Source organism: Homo sapiens, chromosome Y (genome assembly GCF_000001405.40).
Source record: "Homo sapiens chromosome Y, GRCh38.p14 Primary Assembly".
In the NCBI taxonomy this organism is placed as follows: domain Eukaryota; kingdom Metazoa; phylum Chordata; class Mammalia; order Primates; family Hominidae; genus Homo; species Homo sapiens.
Window position 1 is genome coordinate 9,897,198 of NC_000024.10, and position 21,401 is coordinate 9,918,598.

The window sequence follows — 21,401 nt, forward strand, 5'->3', positions numbered from 1 at the left end:
GAAGTGACATGGTTTGGTGTGTCTCCATTCAAATCTCAACTTCAATTGTATCTCCCAGAATTCCCACGTGTTGCAGGTGGGACCCAGGGGGAGGTAATTGAATCATGGGGGCTGGTCTTTCTCATGCTATTCTTGTGATAGTGAATAAGTCTCAAGAGATCTGATGGGTTTTTCAGAGATTTCCGCTTTTGGTTCTTTCTCATTCTCTCTTGGCATTGCCATGTAAGAAGTGCCTTTATTCCTATACCATGATTCTCAGACCTCCCCAGCCATGTGGAAGTGTAAGTCCAATTAAACGTCCTTTTCTTCCCAGTCTCAGGTATGTCTTTATCAGCAGCGTGAAAATTAACTAAGACAGGAGGGTTGGTCCAAATAACTTTGGCTTCCATTACAGAAGATAGAAGTTGGTGAAATGTTTAATCTTTTCTGTGGCAAACTTTAGCAGTGGGTATTATTTTTCTAATTGTTTTTTGTTCTATTCACCTTTCTCATAGGGTACTCTTGCTCTGTAGCCCAGGCTGGAGTGCAGTGGCAGGATCTTGGCTCAACACATCCTTCGCCTCCCAGGTTCAGGCTCTCGAGTAGCTCGGATTACAAGCATGCATCACCACGCCCAACTAATTTTTTGTATTTTTAGTAGAGGCTGGGCTTCACCATGTTGGCCAGGCTGGTCTCCAACTCCTGACCTCAGGTGATCCACCTGTCTCAGCCTTCCAAAGCCCAAAGTGCTGGGAATGCAAGCTTGAGCCACTGTGCCCAGCCAACTCCAGTATTTTTTACCTAAGCGAGTGGAGTTCTGTTTTTTTTTTTTTTTTTTTTTTTTTTTTTTCCTGAGACAGGGTCTTATTGTGTCATCCAGGCTGGAGTGTAGTAATGTGATCTTGGCTAACTGCAACCTCTGCCTCCCAGGTTCAGGTAGTTCTCCTGCCTCAGCCTCCCGAGTAGGTGGGACTACAGGAATGTGCCATTAGGCCTGGTTAATTTTTGCGTTTTTGGTAGAGACATGTTTTTGCCATATTGCCCAGGCTGGTCTCGAACTCCTGACCTCAAGTGACCCACCAACCTCAGCCTCCGAAAATGTGGAAATTACAGGCAAGAGCCAGCAGGCCCAGCCTGGAGTTGCTTTTTTTTTTTTGACATAAAAAGAAATCTGTGGAGGAAAAAGCTTGGTTTGTGGGAGCACCTGAGCTCAGTTTGGCTCACCTATTATTTACTGGCAGTGAAGGTATGTTGTTAATGTACAATATGTTCATGTACATAGCATATGTATATGCTCATCAGGTATTTTCAGGTAAAAAATAGTCATTCCCATAGTTTGAGCCATTACAGAAATTGCCACCAGGGGATTTCACAGTTGAATTCCAGTTCTGGGCAACAGTGATTAACATAATGGTTATTAACAAGAAGAGATTTTGAGACATCCAGCCATGTTTAGATGTCAGGGCCTTGAAGGGATAGGTTTGGCATATTAGTAAGAAAGAGTGCATTGGACTGGATACTAAGAAACACGTTGAATTATTTTTCTTGCCTCTATAACATGAAAGGACACTTAGAGATACAGAAATAATGGAACATTTCACAGCATGGCTTGACATTTCACTGAACTTTTATCCATTTAACCATGTACAAAGTTTATTAAATATGCAAAGGTAGGACTGCTCTAGGAAGAAAGAGGTGGAGTCAGAGGTCACAATCCATAGCAAGATAACACTGTCTTCTGGATTGCACCCTGAGAGCTGAATTAGAGTGAGAATTAACTTTCAGGTTGCCAAAAGAGAACAAGGAGAATGAAGCTATCAGCAGTTAACAGTATTGGATTAATTGAAATGAATGTTGACAGAGATTTTTTTGTCTTTCCATCAAATTGAGTATAGAAAAGGTAACCGCTTATCAAATTTCACACATATACAATTGTGGATTAATTAAAAGATTACACAACCCACATATTATAGGTATCTCTTGTAAATGTATATGTACATGGGCAAACTCACAGTGTGCAAATATGTGTCTATATCTAAATATACACAAATCCATTGATCAACAGTTAGAAAGTTAGAAATTATTCTCCCATTTTACCATTCCCTTTCCTAGAATTTTGTCACAAATATAATTTTTCCATATGTTTGAAGCCTACTCTCTGGAGGCATGTAGTGTATATGTACAGTAAAGCTGTGAGATATCACAATGTTGTTGTCAGAGAAAACAATAACACTGGTGTTATGAAAGATTAATTGTGAGGAGAAAGTTATACTTCACATTACTACAAATACACAAGCATGATTTCATCCAAAGCTGAAATCAGTCAATATAATTTGTTTTTAATATTTTATTTAAAATACTTAATTTCAACAGTATTACTCAAGGAAAATAATGGTATTTGTAATAAATAATGTTGAAGAATTCCCTTTGTTAATTATTTAAAATGTAAGTAAAATACTAAAAAGTACTGTATAATATAGTTGCATGAAGCATTCTTTGTGGTTTTCATAAAATTAATAGTCTCAATGGAATATTTTGAGACTGAGAAAGTTCCATATATCATTGTAATGTACTTTCACTTTATTACTTGCTTGCATGTCATAACTGATGGAAATAAAAACATTTATATTTACAAATATGCAAAACATGGATTTTCGTTTATGTTTTCTAGTGATACAAAGTTACCAATAATTTTATCTATATAGGAAAATTTTTACAAACCCAAAGTTCTTAACTTTCTTTTCTTTTGAAGTTTCATATTTCAGTCTAGGTATGAAATGGAATTTGCTGTTATCATTCTTTGATTTCATGTTATTGGTGAGTTTCTGATACAGTGTTAGGAATGTATAGACTTTAAAGCTTGCTTTCTTCTTCTTCTTCTTCATTTCCCTTTGGACCTGTATCTGTGATGTCTGCAGTAATGTGCATCATTATCTCACATATGGTTGCTGAAAGATACAAGCATAAATAGAATTCTTAGTTTCAGTGAATCTTTAGGAACAGACAATAACACTGAAAGATAATTATGGTATGGATGTAAGTAAGCAGTTTATCACAGAGGTACAATAAGGGCGAAAATAAATTTAAAAATACATGCCTCATCCAAAACATGAGGTAGTACAAATGAAAAATTTAATTTGGCATAAAGAACAGTTTAAAAGTTCTGATTATTTCTGGTGAGAGGAAGTATCTCTGAAACCATGAGAAAGTCCTTCAAAGCTGCATGTTGGATTTGCAGGTCAGGATGGAAAGCCTGGTTCTAGGGGAGGGTGCTAAGGTCCTGGTCAGTTTGAGGTCCTCCTGGGACTCAGGGGTGTCTCAGTGGGAGAGCTGGGAAGGGGAAACACATGCTTCACCCCAGCTAGCAGGCCACCTCAGCCCACCTAGATGAAATTGTCCCTTGACCATCTCTTTCTCCTTCTCAGACAGGCAGGTGGAAGAACTCAGCCATCCTGAGAACAAGTGGTAGGAAGAAATTTGCCTTTCATCACAACATTTACTTCTGCATTGAAGTGATCACTAAGGAGTATTGCATTGGCATCTGCAATGAGGAGCGCCTCCCCGCATGGTAGAGGGAGTGGTATGTGGGAAGCTGGGCCTGGCATGAGCCTTTCTGAATTCTCTCCCTCCAGGATACAGGGCAACTGGCTCCACTGCAGTCCAGTGGTTCTAGGGTCATGCAGGTGAAGGCCCCAGTTTCAGGCAGAGCACTGCCTAACTGAGCTTCTTCAGTTGGTTGATTTACTGTGACTGTCCAGGGTATGGCAGGATTGCTGAGGTGAGGTGGCTATGGGGGGTCATGAGAAATGACCCTGTTGGTCATTCTTTGGCATCGGAAGAACTGGCTTTGAACCAGAACCTGACCTGTGATGAACACTTTGCCCAGTCCCCCAGATCATCAGCCAGGGCCTGTGGCTCAATATTCTGCAGCACTATGCAAGGGAGTTAGGCCCTCAGAGAGGGAACAGAGAAGAGGCCAGGGAAGCAGCCCAGGGCTGGGGGTTGACAGGCCTGTGGGTCCTGGAGTTAGGACACACATAGAGAAGCCAAGGCTCAGGGAGGAGACTGCAGTAAGCAAACTCAGGCCATCATGGGCTGGTGGAGAAAGGCCCATCAGGGAACTGTAGTACCCACATTTCATGATGGGGGAACCCTAATCCACTTAATAGGCATAAGTAGCTAAGGTCAATGGGTGGGAAGCCAGGATGAAGAGATAGCTGCCTCATCATCCCTTGCTAGCTCCTTCCCTGTCCTGAGGCTTGCTACTACCTGGGGTTCAGTTTGGGATCAACCAGGGCTCTCTCACCCTCCACACAGATGCCTACCTGAGGCCTCTCTAGGTCTGCGTCCTCCCAGAATGGCTCTCCCAGGCCTGCTACGTCCCGTTTGGATGACACCACGCTCCCCTGACATGCTTGGTCCCCTCCGCCATCCTCATTCACCCAGCAACTCCCCACCCCCCAAATAGGCAGGCCACTGCACAGGGAATCTGGAGGACCACACAGGGCTCACAGGGGAGGAAATGTGAAGAGATGGCAAAATGGAACGGGACCTTCTGTGTGTTTCCAGAAGGCAATCTGGCTGGACATTCAGGCCCACCTCAGTATTGGTGAGGACACCCAGTGTCTCTTGGCCCTGAGCATGTGCACACAAACACACACATTGTCTAAACGGCATTGACATCACTACTACCTGAGTCATCCTCAGATTCTATACAACCCCTGTAAAAATATCAATGACCCATTCTTCTTAGAAAAACCATCTGAGAATCCTAAATTTGCTATGAAATGGCAGAAGATCCTGAAAACCCAGAGCAATCCGGTAAAAAGCACAAAGCTGGAGCCACCACACTACCTAACTTCATGATATACTACTACAAAGCTTTGTGTATCAAAATACAATAGCACTGGCAGAAAAGCAGAGACTAGAGCTTAGGAAAAACAATAAAAGCCCACAACTAAGTCACTCCATTTGCAGCTCACAGCCTTTTCCCAAAGAAGCAAGAACGTCCAGTGCAAAATCAAGTATCTTCTATAAACTAGGTTGGGGAAATCTGAAGAGCCACATAAAGGATTTTACAGGTGGATTATTTATCACCAAACTCCAGTGTCGCATCTGAAACAATAAAATTACCAGAAGAAATCACAAGGAAGAAGCTCCATGGCCATCTGTGTGGGCCGTGATGGTCTCAAAGTGACTGCAAGAGCACAGTAAACACCATCAAAAACAGAGAATGGGGTTATATCAAACTAAAGTGCTTTGGCACACCACAGAAAACTAAACAGATGGAAGGGACATCCTACAGGATGGGAGAAATTATTGGATCACTATACATCTGTTAATGGGTGAATATTCACAGTACATAAGGAACTCCCAACAATCAATAGCATGAAAAGAAATGGATTAAGGATGTGAATATTCATCTGTGAAACTAAGACATACAGTTGCCCAGAAGACACACTAAAAAGCACTCATCATCCCTAATCCATCAGGAAAATGCAAATCAAAAACACAATGAGATTTCTTCTCACTTCAGTCAGAATACCTATTATCCAAAAGACAAAACAAACAAACAAACAAACAAAAAACCCTCATTTCTGGTGAGGATGAGGAGAAAAGGAAATCCTTGTGCACTTTTGGTGAGAATGTAATTTAGTGCAGGCATTACAAGAAGCTTTATGGCTTTTATTTAAGTATAGAGCCTTCAGAACTCTACAAGTAGAACCACCCATCATGTGATCCAGCAAATCAGAATACTGGGGCACACCCACAAGTACACAAATCAGTATGTTGAAGCAGTGTATGCACCCATGCAATTATTGCTGCACTCTTTACATTTTTGCTGTAGCCAAAACACGGAAGCAACCTGAGTGTCCCTCAATTGATAAGTGGATTAAAAAAATGGGGCAAAAACACATATGCACAATGGAAAAATGCACTGCAGTAATAAATAAGGAAATCCTGCCACTTGTGACAATACGTGTGAATCCGCTGAATGCGTCCATGCCATTTTCTTTAGTGACATAGGCCAGGTATCAGAAAGGCAAATAGCACGTGACCTCATTCTTATATGAAATCTGAAAAGCAGACCCCACAGAGGTAATGACTCCAATGGTTGGGGTGGTGTTTAGTGAAGAGGGTGCACTGAGGAGATGCTGGATCAAGAATACATATTTCTAGTTAGAAAGGAGGAATAGGTTAAAAACATTTTCTACAGCATGCTGATTATAACTAGTGATAACATATTCTTTCTCTAAAAAATTCTAAGACAGTGTCTTTCATGTTTTATCATCACAAAAATGCTAAGTATGTGAGGTCATGCATAGGTTGATTAGCTGGATGTATCCAATGCATAATGTATGTGATCTTTTGAACATCACCCTGTAAGTTATAAATATGTATCATTTCATATGACTATTTAAAAAATAAACATACAATTTTTAAAATGCCTTAAGAGAATAAATGTCAATAAAGTATTTTATTATAAAGCAGTGCTTTTCTTTTCTATCAAAGTCTTTTTCATGACACATGAAAGAATGCAACATCATTTGGTAAGTTAAAATATATATACACACACACACACACACACACACACACACACATATGAACATCCCAGTGAATGCAGATGATCAACTGAAAGATTGAAATTACAGGTGCAGAATATAGTCCATAAATTGAAACCTTCACTGCATGTTTGAAAAGAAGACATGAGGAGGCAGAAGAAAAAAGCAAAAAACTCAAAGCCATGCCAGGGCCCTGGGTCACACCTGTAATCCCAGCACTTTGAGAGGCCGAGGTGGGAGGATTGCCTGCACTCAGGAGTTCCAGATGAGCCCGGGGCAACATGCGCCCACGTGTAAAAAGTAATTAATTAATTAATACGTAGCTGGGAGGGGTGACATGCACCTGTAGTGCCAGCTATGTGAGTCTGACTTGAGAGGATCACATGGGTGTGCGGTGTCCAGGCTGCAGTGGGCTGAGATCCTGAGGCTCCTCTCCAACCTAGGAGACAGAGTAAGACCTATTCTCAGGAAACAAACAAAAATGAGTCACCTTAGGTAAATTAAAACTACGCAGTGTAAGGAGAATCAAAATAAACGAAACATCATTACAGCCTACATGATCCGATGAAAGAAACAAGCTTTCACATAATAACAGCCCCAGATGGGGAGAACAATGAGAAAGGGCAGAGAGATAACACACCAAACTCCCCAAATGAGTTAAAAGACATAAATGTAGAAAGAGTGCTTCTTTTGAACTCAAAGCCCTTAATGACAAGTGCAAGTGTCTTTTTCTGAATCCCTGACATGCATTCAGCTCACCTGAACCTCTTGGTGAAGTTCTCAGACCACAGTTTGCCCTTTCTATATGCTCTCATTTTGTAATTTCCTATCACTTATCTGTAGCAGGTCACAACAAATCATGATTCTTTGACATTGTTTGACACAATGAAGAACTCAGATATGAGTTCATTAAACAATAGTTTATGACATGTCATGAATAAATTCTGTTTGCATGATGTTTGTTAAAATGATAATACAAAATAAAAACGGAGGGAAAAGAACATTTTCTTTGTTTCATCATTGCGCTTGTGTTTATGCAGCATGTATCTATGAACTATAGCTGCCTCCTGGAAAATGATCCAACAGAATCCCTTGAAATTTCTCCTTCCGCTTTGGAGACCACAGGCATAACCCGCTTTTTCACATTTCCACCTTTTGGATACAATGAGTGGGATGAGTGGGATCCGTGTGACCTTTGCCTTTGCTGTAATGTCTAGTTTTTTGTTTTTTGTTTTTTCTTTTTTTTTTTTTAACTCTGTCATTGCTAGATCAGCCTAAAATAAACAGTTCATTATGGCTCACAAAAAGAACTCATCTCCTTCAGCGGATATTCTTTATAAGAGGAATTTCATCCAGACATGAAAACGATAATCTGATGCCACTGCCAACAGATTGAGAATTACAAACTAAATTCAGATCGAGAATAGGAAGACAGATGATACAGATGGAGAGACGGTGGTGGGGAAGGAAGGGAAGGAAGAAAGGAAGGGTGTGAAGGAAGGAAAGCAATGAAGAAAGGGAGAGAGAGTGATAGATGTTCAAAGACAGAGATACAAAGTCGAGCATGGTTGTAGAGATAGGCGTGTACAAATTACCATGGGCAGTGTGGAAACATATCAGACAGAGTGACATAGGTGGAGTCAGAGAATAGAGACAAACCCATACAGAGAAATAAATATACGCAAATACAGACACACGGTTGGTAGTTTAAACCTGTCTGATTTTCTGTGACTGGATCTGTTTTTCCTTTAGTTCTTGGGCATAAGACCATGTTGAGTACTGACGTCCTGCATACTATAGTAACTATGTAGGAGTTCTGCTGTATTAGGTAAAGTGTGATGCTCCATCATATTCCACTCACCATCTGGGAGTCCCCTAGAGAAACACAAACACGTGTCAAAATGTATTTCCTCTGAGCCATACTTCAAAATGTTTTAATTTTAGGGCCTGCTGAGAAAAGACTACCCCTTCCCCATTTGTGATCTCTTAAACTTCCTCCTACCATGTGCTACAAACTGTTCCCTGCAATATTTTCCCCATTCCCAGTATTCACTGTGACAGGAGTCAGCTAACAAGATTCATTGTATACTAAAAGCACACAGAAATCTGATGGGGCAATAGCTTAACAAAATGCAATGACCTAAACAGTCCTCTGTGGTTTGTGGCAAGGACAACAAGGAGGCACATTCAGGGAGCCCCATCTTAAGGAGTTGGTAGGATGGCTGCTGGTGGGGTTGATGGCCATGGAATCAAGTGCCACAAATTGAAGTGAATGATTCAACTTTACTTCTCAGTGAGTCTGGACATAGACTATGCTTCCCTGGGCTTAAGACTCCACAGCTATAACCTGCTTTGCAGTGTGGTATCTAATGTGCCTTTTTCAGCCCAATGCCGTTAATGTCCTGGATTCTGTCACTCTCTGTCTTTCTCTCAAGGAATTTCTACATGTATGAAAGGAGCCTCAATTTCTACATTTCTGAAATGAGCATCCAGGCTCCCTGAACAGGCAGGTATGTCAACCCCCTTACCCTGGGCACCAAATAGCTCCAGTTCCAACTTAACGGCTCATCTGAAATCTCTGTTCCCTCTTCAGGTGGCTTCATCTTCATGTAGTATTGCAGGGGTTTGTGCCACAGTTCCGTACATAAGCTCTATCAGGGGAATCAATTGGGAAAGGCCTCATCAGGGCTCAGACTGGTGACCCAAGCAGCTGGGAACACACCAGGGTCATTCCTAATGTTTCCCAGTGAGGACTCTCCTCAGCAATCCTGTTAGATCCTGTGAAGTTGCGGTCAGCAAACCAGTTGAAGAAGTTAAGGCTGCTGTTGTGGTGTCCCCAGCGATAGGGCTCAACATCATAATCCTGATACTGCTGAATTGGAGTGGAATAAGCCCTGTATGCTACAAAGAGAGGGTTTTGTGGGAAGGGGCCTGGATCATGTTGGCAATGACCCACACATCATCTTCCTTCCACTACCCATCTGGGGTGCCACCTCTCACCTGTGATGTTCACGAGATATTCCTTGGTAATCACTTTATTCTGAAGTAGGGGTTACTCCAAAAGAACAACATGATCTTGCAGAGATGAATGGGATGCTTCACTTCTTTCATCTGTCAGGACAAGGTGGAGAAAGCTTAAATACCTTTTCGGGTGAGGTGCCCACTGTTGCTTACAGGAATGAATTATTTCCTTTACCCTCCCCTACTAAACCCTCTAGCCTCAGTCTTCCCAGCCTCACCTCCAGGCTGACCATGTAGCTCAGCATGTCTTCATCTTGGTCAGTGATCAGGGCTGACATCTGGGGGTGGTTTGCAATCTGATTTAGGTCAAAGAGGCTTTACATGTGATGGAAGGAGAAGCTAGGAGCAACAGGGAAGAAGGCCTAAGAGCGCCCAGAGTCTGGGGTAGGGGATTTCTCAGAACTGCTTCCATGTATGACCTCCTTTTGCCTCCCCCTCCCCCTAAATTAAGGTCTTTTGGGCTCGCAGAGAGTGTATAATTCTGAGGCTGACTGCACTGACATGGGGAGGTGCGATTTGCAGAGAGTTGCTGGTGTCTGCGGAGTGGCAGAATCAGCTTATAGGCGAAGACGCCCAGTCCCAGATCTGACTAGCAAGGGGGAGTAATCACACTCCCTTAACAATACCTTCATTCACAGAAAAACGTATTCTGGTCTGAACTCGCTTCTGCTCTTCAAATGATGCCCCAAACGTCTGCTGCTCGGCATCACCAAGGGTTTCTCTGCCGCATGCAGGAAAACAGTACCCACGCCTGCTCCGGCTTTCTACAGCCTCATTTGTCCGTGGCAACTCCCCTTTGTTCTCCAAAGAGTCATATCGACGATGAGCTGCCCATCGGTCACTTACACTTCCCCGAGAGCACCTCTCAACTGGAAAGGCAGAAAAAACACTGAGAAGGATACAACATGGGCCCAGAAGCCAGGGACGCTCTGGATGACGGCGCCTCTGCGGTCTAGGTGGGGCTTGTGCCTCCATTCCATCTTTTCCCTCTGGCGAGAAAAGGCCTTCCTGGCTTGGGCATTAACCGGCTCCAGCTCCACCTGAACGGCCACCAGCTCCTCCAGGGCGGACTCTGGGATTATGGGCCCAGGGCCAGGCTGTGGCTTCTGGGCCTCCTCCTGCCCCTCCACGAGGGCCTCCTCCTGGGCCACCACCTCCACCTCTGCCATTATGTCATCCAACAGCTGCACCGCCTCCTCCCGCAAAGCCGCCTGCTCACTCTCCACCCCGGCCGCCCCCTCCTGTACAGCCTCCATCCTGAAGGCGGTGCCCTCCTCGGCACTCGCACACACCAAGGCCTGTGCTGCCCGACCCAAGCCACAGGAACCCTGCCGCAGCCTCTATGGCACCCGGTAGGTCAGCGAGCCCTCAGGGCGCATGCGCCGGACTTCCAGGCGCCCCCTAAGGGACTGCGCGCGAAGGGCCGGGGGGCCGCACCCAGGCCGACTTCCTCCCGTCGTGGCCAATCAATGGGAGGGCGGTGGGCGTCTCCCTGGGCGGCACAGCCACTGGCGGGCCTGCATCTCCAGCCCCCCCACCCCCCGCCTTCCCTGCCCAAGCCTCCTCCGAGAAGCCCTTGGAACTTGTGCCGGGTAGCTAGGCGTCCGGGCACACGCGGGCTGCGTGGCCTTTGGAATTGTGGGCATGGCAGCCCTGTGCCCTGACATCCTCAGTGTGGCAAGCCATGAACATCTCTATGTGTCATGAACACAGGAAACATCTCTCTTCATTAGGCAGGCCAGGTAGATGGTACATAAGGAATATTGCAGATCCAGAGGAGAACTTTCTCTGGTTGCTGGGGCGAGGGCGGCGGGGGTGGCCTAGCAGAAGTGAGTCGGGGCGGGTATGTGGGAGGAAAGTCACCTGCTTGTGCAGAGGTGGAATTCGTCTGCACTGTAGGCTAGAACCCTGGCATGTACTCTCGCAGGTCGAGGCAAATACAGGCTCCGAGTACCATGCTTCCTCCCTGAGGATGCTGTACTCCAAGGAGCATTCCAAAGGGCCTCTAGTCCTGTGCCCTGGGCACACCAGAGGCCAGCCGCCAGGGTTGGCCATTGTCGGCCTGCGCGCACGCTGTTGTGCACTGCCTTGACGACCCAGAGGCTCCCGCACCCGCAGCAGCCGCTGCGGTGCCTGCTGGTGGGGCTCTGCAAGCACAGGGCCTCGGCCTCTGGCTTCTGAGCTCCTATGCGCAGTTGACCCTGCTGTGGTCCTGAGCCCCACGGCGAGTGCGGCCATCTGCGGGCCCAGCGGGGCTCCTCAGGAAACCTGGGTCCATGTAGGTGTGGGACTAGGTTTTCAGCAGGGAGAGGCCCGTGGGTCTTTCACGGAGCGGGCCTCTTGGGGAGCAGCCCCCAGAGCATAGGGATACCGGGGATGGGCTGGGCTGTGCAGGCCAGGGTCTGTGGGAGCACCCAGGAGGGCACCGTGTTCAGGCTGGAGGCTCTGCTGGAGAGGACGGCCGGGGTACAGAGCAAGGAGGCAGCCTTGGAAGAGGAGGCGGTGCTGAAGGTGGAAGACATAATGGCTGAGGTGGAGGTGGTGGTTGAGGAGGAGACTGACGTGGGGTGGCAGAAGGAGGGCCAGCGGGCACAGCTTGGCCCTGGACCCAGCACACCCAGGCCATCAATGGACTCGCTGGAGGTCCTTCACTTGGAGGTAGACTCCGTGAATGCCCCTGTGGCCTGGGCTTCTGGGACAGAGCCATATCCTTGCAGCTGCCGATTCCAGATGGCTGGCAGCAGGGGATGGGCATCGGGCTTCGTGGGGGCATGGGGGCTGTTGGGGGAGGAGCCAGGAGGAGGCACATGGGGTGAGCCAGGAGGCAGGGGATGGGGGACAGGATGGGAGCCGAGGTCACGTTCCTGCAGCTGTGAGGGCAGCTTGCTTGTAGCAGCACTGGGAGCACTGGGAGCACGTGGTAGGGAAGGGGAGCCGAGCACAGCACTCACAAGGGAGAATCGCGGCGCCAGAGTCCCTTCACGCACAGCACAATGTCAAAGGGCATGTTTCCCTGGGAATGTCCTGGAGGAAGGGGAGTCTGCATGACATTGCCAGCCATTGAATCACCCCCGCTCTCAGTGCCCGTTTCCAGAAGGCTCGCCCCAGAAACACAAGGTGCTTAAGACTCGGGTTAGCGGTACATGGGGCTGCCGACCTCCACAAGGCAGGTACTAGCTCCCCAGATATGCTTTCTTCTGCCTGCCGGCGCTGCACCCAAAGGGTTATAGCCCCTGAGCGTATATAACCTCCTTTGCACCCACCCAGTCCCCATGGGGAGCGCCAGGAACTACCCTGCAGCCCCTTCTAACTACAGGGCTTCCTCAGGCAGACAGGTCCACCCCTCAGGGAGACTAGGATAAGAAGACACCACACACCCGGACATCAGCAGAGCATGTCCAGCACCCAGCACGCAAAGGCCTCCTGCAGCTCATGAACCCAGAGAAGCAGCCGCCTCACACCACCCTGCCCCCGCCCCTGCCCCTCAGCTGCAACCACCTGCCCACTTTTTCTGCCTCCCGTCTCTGGTCAGCCCAGGCCGTCTTGGCCGGGGTCCAGCCACCCCAAAAACCACCACAGTTGTGGCATTGCCTCCTCACCAGACAGAAACAGAGGATCAACATCGGAGCGTGACAGGCCAAATGTCTGGGAGATATCCCTGCTCCACATTCTCTGTGCTCTTGCAGAATTGCAGGCGTCAGGAGGCTTGCCCACTGAATCATCTGGAGACTCCTTGACCAGATGTAGATTGTTTGGCACACCAGATGTTGACCTGGGTTGGAAACCATGATGAAGTGATGGATTTGCAGGTCAGGCTGGGGAGCCTGGGTCTGTGGGAGGGGTCCAGTGTCTGAGTCAGTTTGAGGTCCCCCTGGGGTCCAGGGTTGTCTCAGTTGCAAAGCTGGGAATGGGAAATTCATGCTTCACTCCAGCTAGCAGGCCACCTCAGCCCAGCTAGATGAAATGGTCCCATTGAATCCATACTCTTTCTCCTTCTTGGTTAGGCAGGTGGAGGAACTCAGGCATCCCTGTTACCGGCAGCAAGATGAAGATTTCCTTTTGTCACAGCCTTTATTTCCACAATGAAGTGATCAGTAAGTAGTACTGCATTGGCATCCTCGGTAAGGAGTGCCTCCTAGCATGGTAGGGGAGCCGGTATGTGGGAGGGTAGGTCTAGGATGAACCTTCCTGACTCCTCTCCCTCCAGGGTACAGGGTATCTCATTCCACTGCAGTCCAGTTGTTCTGGGATCATGAAGGTCAAGCCTCCAGCTGCAGGCAGTACACCTCCTACCTGAGCTTTTTCACCTGTTTGGCTGAACATGACTGCCCGGGTTTTGGTAGGATTGCTGAGGTGAGGTTCACCATGGGGCATCATGGGAAAGGACCTCGCTGGGCATTCCTTGGTCTCTGGGGAATTGGCATTAAACTGTGACATGAACTGTCCTGGACCCACTTCTGCAGTCCCCTAGATCATCAGCCAGGGCCTATGGCTCAATCCATTGCAGTTCTATTCCATGGTGGGAGGGACAGCATTTTAGAGGGAACAGAGGCCAGGGAACAGCCTAGGGCTGGGAACTGAGAGGTCTTTCAGTCCTGGATCTGTGCCCCACAGGGAGAACCCAAGGATCATGCAGGAAACTGCAATGAGCAATCCCAGGCCATCCATTGGTTGGGGGAGAAAGGCCCATCGGTGAACTGCAACACCCACATTTCAGGATTGGGGAACCTTAAGCCACTACAATGCATATGTGACTAAGATCAGTGGGTGAGAAGCAGAGCTTAAGGGATAGCTGTCTCATCATCACTTGCCAGCTCCCTCCCTTGCCCTGAGACCTCCTACCACCTGAGACTCAGTTTGAGCTCATCCAGGACCCTCTCCCTCTCTACACAGATATCCACCTGAGGCCCATCTAAGTCTACATTCCTTCAGAATGTTTCTCCCAGGTCTGTCATGTTCTGTTTTGATGACCCCGGGCTGCCCTGATATGTTATCCTCTCTGCTATCCTCACTCCAACTGCCCTGCCTTCCCATATAAGACAGTCCACTTCACAGGGAATCTGGAGGAATGCACTGGGTTCCAGTGTGATGAAATGTTCTATTATCTCCATGTACATGTATTTTAGAGCTTCCTCCAGGACTGGAAATGTGAAGAGATTGCAAAATGGCTGGGGACCTTCAGTATGTGTCCAGGGAGGGAACCTGGCTGGGAATTAAGGCCCACCTGAGTAATGGTATGGACATCCAGTGTCAGTTATCTTGATAAAGACCTGCTTTGTTACATCACCTACTATTAATATAAAAGTTAATTTCTTAGAATATTGAAAAAACAAATTTAAGTGCAAAGAAAAATAATTTCTTCATAATTGTATGGAAAAACTGCAGAAGGATCCATTTTCCATTATAAATATTATGAGAGACTTGAAGTGTTTATCAAGTTTTAAGATATATTTTTATTGTTCTACTCCTGGCAATTGTTATGATCATTTTTGCAATACAGGGACATGGACTCTGGAAAGTTTTTGAGGGACTTTCAGCTTCTTTTAGAGTACTTAGTCGTAAATTTTGAATTTTTTTCCCCTGTGGTTCTTTTCACTTTACTATTTGTACTTTATATGCAAGGTGTTAATTGTGTTTTCTTATTTGCCTCTTCTGGAACTTTTGTTTTCAAGGATTTTCTTTTTCAGTTAGATATGTGAGTTTGCCTCTGAGCACTTTTTCTAGCATAGATTTTTTTTTTAAATTCATTAGTTTTTGGGGGGGTGTGTGTGTTTGTTTGTTTTCAGATGAAGTCTCGATCTGTCATCCAGGCTGAAGTTAAGTGGCAAAATCTCGTCTCACTGCAACATCTGCCTCCCAGCTTCAAACGATTCCCCTGCCTTAGCCTTCTGAGGAGCTGGGATTACAGGCACATGTCCTGCTAATTTTTCTATTTTTAGTAGAGACTGGTTTCACCGTATTTGCCAGACTGGTCTCATACTGCTGTGATCTGCCTGCACTGGCCTCCCAAAATGCTGGGCTTCCAGGTGTGAGCCACCACGCCCAGCCTCATTTGTTTGTTAATGTATTTTAATCATTATTATATTTTCTTCATGTACATGTATTTTATAATTATTGAAATAATGTATTATATTTACTTAATACTTTTGTAGGATTTTATATGTAATATTTTCGCTCACCAAATACAGTATTGTGTATAGGTTAACCTTGTATAGTATTGTCATTCTGTCTTTCATAAATTATTCAAGAACTCCAATACTGTTTTTCCCCAACCTGAGGAGAACATGCAGATAGTTATAAAAAATTGTGCGAGGGGGTAAGTATGAAAATATAATCTGAAAGAATAATCAAATTCACAAATAAATTTCACATTTGTATTTTGCATCATTTTGAAAATTTTATTTGCTGACACATGAAATTCTGTATTCACCTTCATGTTAAATATACACTTTTGAATCAATTTCAAGAATGAAAGCAATCCAAGGCCATGCATTAGTTCAGGAAGTAGAAAGCAGTTGTTATGTAGAAAAAGATCATATTTAATGAAGGTATATTTAGAGAGATCTTAGAAGGCTTAAGTCAATATTTTTGTTTTTGTTGTTTTGGTGTTTTATCATACTGTGACCAGACTGTAGCATCAATAGTTATAGTCACTAGGCTACCAAAGTCTCAGAGCTGCAGTAATTATTATTGAGGAAAGTGGCAGTGTGGTTGGCTCTTTAAGGAGAGTAGAGGACTTAGGAGTTTCCACCCAAGCCACAACGGCCTGATTTAGTGGTGGCCTTCTTTTGCTGAAGCAGATAAGATACAGGAGAAGTGTGGACTCACTGTAGTAGCTAGGGCTTTGAGACTGGTAAAGCATATTTGTCCCCTAGTGCCATTGCCAGATATTGGTCTGCGCATAATGACATTTTCTGGACTCACTGACTCCTGTAAATTCAAACGTAGAATTTGGATTTAAATCCCTATTCCAACTTCTTAAACTTAGAATTAATAAGTGGGTGATAAAATATGTATTCAGAAGAAAGGCAGACATCAGATAAGTACATAAGTAAATCTTCCTGGTAAAATACCTTCAAAAGTGTTACTACAAAAAAATCACTGAAGAGCATACCTTAAACAAGTTATTTTACTTGGAGAAATAGAAAAATGTTGGAGTCGTTTTATATACAATGTCTAATTTGTTTGAAGAACAGCATACTATCTCTTTAGTATGGCTAGAGATTAATAACTCATGTAAGAAAACTCAGATTGACAATAAAATTTTTCAGAGATTTTGTTCTGTAATTAAAGACTTTTAAAATGGTTTCCTACTGATCAATGATTCACTTATATTTATCATTTAGGCATATGCTGTATACCCTTCTATACAGGGACAAAGTTATAGTTTCTATCATGTAGATAGAAAAGAATTTGACTGTGTACCACATTTGCATTAATGTCTTTGACCTGAGTAATGAAGCAAACAATGGAACTGTCTATGTCAGGTTACAGGTGGGCACAGCTGGAAGCTTCCATCACTTGTGCTTTAACATTTCTGCATTCTCATCAGTCTCTCCTGGAAAGAAAATGGACTATAACTATCCTAAAGAACATATGTTACATGTAGACACTAAGTATTGAGATAAAACCTTGATTTGTCTTATCACTGTCTCGTCATTACATTTGTATGTGTAACTTACACAGAGAAATTCAGTTTATTTTATCACCATTAAATTTTACATCACACATTTATATATTTTATTATCTTTCTATTGACCTTTATTTTTCTTGAGATGCAGTTCCACTTTGTCACTCAGTCTGGAATGCAGTGGCCTGCTCACAGCTCACTGCAACTTCAGCCTCTTGGGTTCAAGCAATTCTCCTGCCTCAGCCTCCTGAGTAGCTGGGATTACAGGCACACACCACCCCTCCTGGCTAATTTTGTATTTTTAGTAGAGATGGGTTTTCCCCATGTTGGTCAGACTGGTCTTAAACTCCTGACTTCAGGTGATTTACTGGCCTCAGCCTCCCAAAGTGCTGGGATTACAGGCATGAGCCACCATGCCAGCTCCCAAACCTTTTTTTGGACAAGTTCTTGCTTGGTCACCCAGGCTGGAGTGCATTGGCACCATCTTCACACACTGCAGCCTCAACCTCCTGGGCTCAAGCTATCTTCCTCTCTCAGCCTCCCAGGTAGCTGGGACTACATGTGTGCAACACCACATCAAGCTATTTGTTGTTGTTGTTGTTTAGTGATGAAGTCTTGCTCTATTGCCCAACTGGGTATCAAATTCCTGGGCCTAAAACATTCTCCTGGTTGAAGCTCCCAAAGTGCTGGAAATATAGGATTGAGCCACTGTGGACAACATTGTCATTCTTTAATCACTTTTTAAATGCCACTCTTCAAAAGTAACAAGTAAATTTTACTTAAGAAATTCCAAATGCCAAGTCAAGTTCAGCTTCATTTTCATAAAGAGGTAAAAAGAAAACAAATCAAAAAACCTTCTTTTTCCTTTGTTTTGAAGTTAGCAAAGAGTTGGAAAACCAATCATGTCTACTTTGGTTTATAAAATTGACTGTACAGAGAAAGATCCTCATATAAATGTTTTCAGATCTAAAATCTTGTGAAGTTATCATCAGAACCATCATCTTATAAAACAAAAACACATTTCCTAGTGGGTCTCTTGTGTGGATTAAACATCTTATTATTAGTAATGTATACAATTGTGATTACAGTTACTCCTTGAAACATAATATTAAAAATACAAATCTCATTTATTTTTTACAACTGCTACCCCAGTGAGAAAAAGTAACACTGACCTGGTGTAATAATTTGTGCCCCAGAGAGCCAGCCTTCTGGACTATTCAGATTCTTCAGACAGCCGGAGTGCTGAGAGCCGAATGGGAGTCTGGACATCTTGGAGGAGTAGCAATGCCAGGATATTTCTTGCTGCTCCACTCACCAACCAGAATCTCTCATGCAGCAGAATGGTAGACACCTTCACAACTCTCAGTTGTGCCCCAGGATGCCTCAGGCCCAGTATCACAGCAGTGTCTTCAGGACTCCTGTGTGCATAGGCAAAGATTTATTACAATACATTCATTAGAAAACCTGAACCTTAAACCTACATCAGGCTTTCTAGCATATTTCTTTATTTATGATACATAAGGTCCCTAGCTCATCTTCAGAGAAATCAGAAATCTATGGATAAAGAGTTCATAGACAAGGGGATTGCAGAGGAATTGACTAACAGAGGTACTAATAAGCCAAACACTGTGACAAAATTTCTTTTTAGCCTAAAACAAAAATGTTATCCATATAAGTGAGATGCTCATGTATTATAGAAGTGAATTAGGACAGAGAAACCTTCAGCAATGTACTTATGGGATCATAAATCATAGGATATGGGAAGAGGCAGGCACAAACTTACATGTTCCTGACACAGTGGGCAGCTATGAGAACCCATGAGCTGCTAACTATGGACCCGCTGTAGACCTGACTGCCACAGCTGATGATCCCAGCCTGCCAAGGCATGGCATATTGCAGAGAAATCTGATCTGCTGAAGCTGAGGAGAAAAATAAGCTAATTGTGCTAATTTGAATAGAATTGCCATCTGTAGATCTTTTTTTTTTTTTTTTTTTTGTGAGACGGAGCCTCACTCTGTTTCCCAGCCTGGAGTGCAGTGGCGTGCTCTCTGCTCAGTGCAAACTCCGCCTCCTGGGTTCCTGCCATTCTCCTGCCTCAGCCTCCTGAGTAGCTGGGATCACAGATGTCCATCACTGTGCCTGGCTAATTTTTTTTGTATTTTTTAGTAGAGACGGGGTTTCACCATGTTAGCCAGGATGGTCTCGATCTCCTGACCTCGGGATCCGCCCGCCTCAGCCTCCCAAAGTTCTGGGATTACAGGTGTGAGCCACCGCACCTGGCCCATTTTTTTAAGTTTTAAATCCCTCCTATTTGTGCTAACCAAATTAGCATTGTTAAATATGACCAGCAAAGACAAACTTCTACGTCTTTTGTGTTCATGCATTTTTCTTGAAAAGAAGTGTTCCTCTTACTATCTTTCTGAGTTCATAGTTTCTTTATGTCATAGCTTAAATTTCTTTAATCAAAATATTGGGAGTCATCCCAGCTTTCTCCCCCATTGCAACATTTATATATCTATGATTGTAGCTACCCAGAAATCACTGAAGTAGATAGGCAACAAAAAAATGTAATGATTTGAATGTATTAATAAATAATGAAAAATTTGGAGATAAAGCACCTGTCTCTAAAATGGAGGGGGCTTTTCTTCCTAAACTTATAATTTTAGTGAGATATCAAACCAATAGTTTAAATAGAAAATTCAAGATTGAGGTTCAGGAAAGAGCTCATATTTTTAAAATTATTTTAGCGTTCCTCAGAAAACTGAGTTGAAGCAATGCTCGTTTATATATATAGAGAGAGAGATAAAAATGTTGAAGATAACCTGTCTGTAGAAGGGGTAAGGAAGTATAGATGAAATTAGAAGCATAACTAAGATGTTAAGTGTAGTTGTCTTTGAGTTAGACTTTGGAGGATGTGAGCAAATAATTATGGCCTCTTTTATGTTTTAAGTGTATTATTCACTGTAACTATGGCGATAGGTGGTAGCTATAAAATAGCTGTGGCTAAGTGCACATTTAACTCATGAGACCAAAAGAGATCCCTCAATTTCTAAGGAAACAAGTAGAAGTACAGTAATGTGAAATAGCCATTGCTAATATTGTGATAGGTTTTCTGATAGCCAAAGGAAGGGGGAAACTGATAATAGCAACGTAACCCAATCTAGTACACCAGCACCTAAAACTCATTACTTACCAACTATTACACTGTTTCCAAACATCAAAATATCTTTAACTTAAAATATACTTAATTTAAAATAACTCTATTACAAATGCAAGCTACTGTGTGGTAGTAAAGAAATGTCTTTGTGTTAGAAGAGTGTGTCTTAATATTAGCCCTATTCATCTTTTGCCATGAGAAATCGATCAATCCATTCTACTTATCTAGTATCAGAATACACATTTAAGATAACTATAATAATCACGTTAAATGATCTCTATCATGATCTATAGGGATACTATGGAAATTGAATAATATATCAAGTATGAAATGCCTTTGTAAGCCATAAGGAAATAACTTCCATGATTTGGGAGATAAAATATTGTGCATTTTTCAGGAAGAGCTTTCTCTCCTCTCTCCTTCCATCTACTCTTTTCTATTTCAATTACCTTCTTCTTTGGCTTTGCCTACCAAGGTTTTGAGCCTTACTCTGAGGCTGTGGCAGAGAGATGAAGTGTGGCCAAATGGAAGTGGGAGCGGAGATAAAAGTCAAGGCATCTTTAGAAGCAGAGACTGAAAGGGACATGGAAGCAGAGGTAGTCATGGGCCCCTGGTGGTGCCAGGGTGCATGGCTAGGCCATGGCACTCCCAGGAGCCAGAAAGAAAAGGGTGCACTTGGCTGAAGACACAGGGCTTTGTGCAATGCTCCTCAAAGTGACTCAAGATTCCCACTTGCACCCAAGTGTCCTTTTGCTGTAGATGGCATACGAAAGGTGCTCCCAAGTCACGCTGCAAGAAACAAAGATACAAGATATGAATCAATATTTTGAAGGAGGGCCAGAAGTAACTTTTAGTGTGCAAGATATTCCTCTTTCTTCCTGGCATTCATACCCCATGAATTTGTCCCCTTACAGCCAGCCTCCCCAACAGCTGTCTTGGCCTCTACACAAAAAGTGAATTCATTCAGCTTGGGGCACAATTGGGCACAAGGGCTGACTTGTTGGTTGCTCAGGTGCCCTTTTTGCAGAATTCCAGAACTTCCTGATAGAAA

General features: G+C 44.1%; 1 long non-coding RNA gene and 1 pseudogene across 1 annotated transcript; one reads left to right on the top strand and one right to left on the bottom strand.

The window, feature by feature from the left end:
• Positions 8,260–10,988, bottom strand: TSPY13P (testis specific protein Y-linked 13, pseudogene; annotated as a pseudogene).
• On the top strand, positions 13,601–14,765 carry TTTY23 (testis expressed transcript, Y-linked 23). Its single transcript, NR_001540.1, has 3 exons — positions 13,601–13,657; positions 13,771–13,916; positions 14,457–14,765. It is a non-coding gene; the product is annotated as a testis expressed transcript, Y-linked 23 (long non-coding RNA).
• The last annotated feature ends 6,636 nt before the right edge of the window (positions 14,766–21,401 follow it).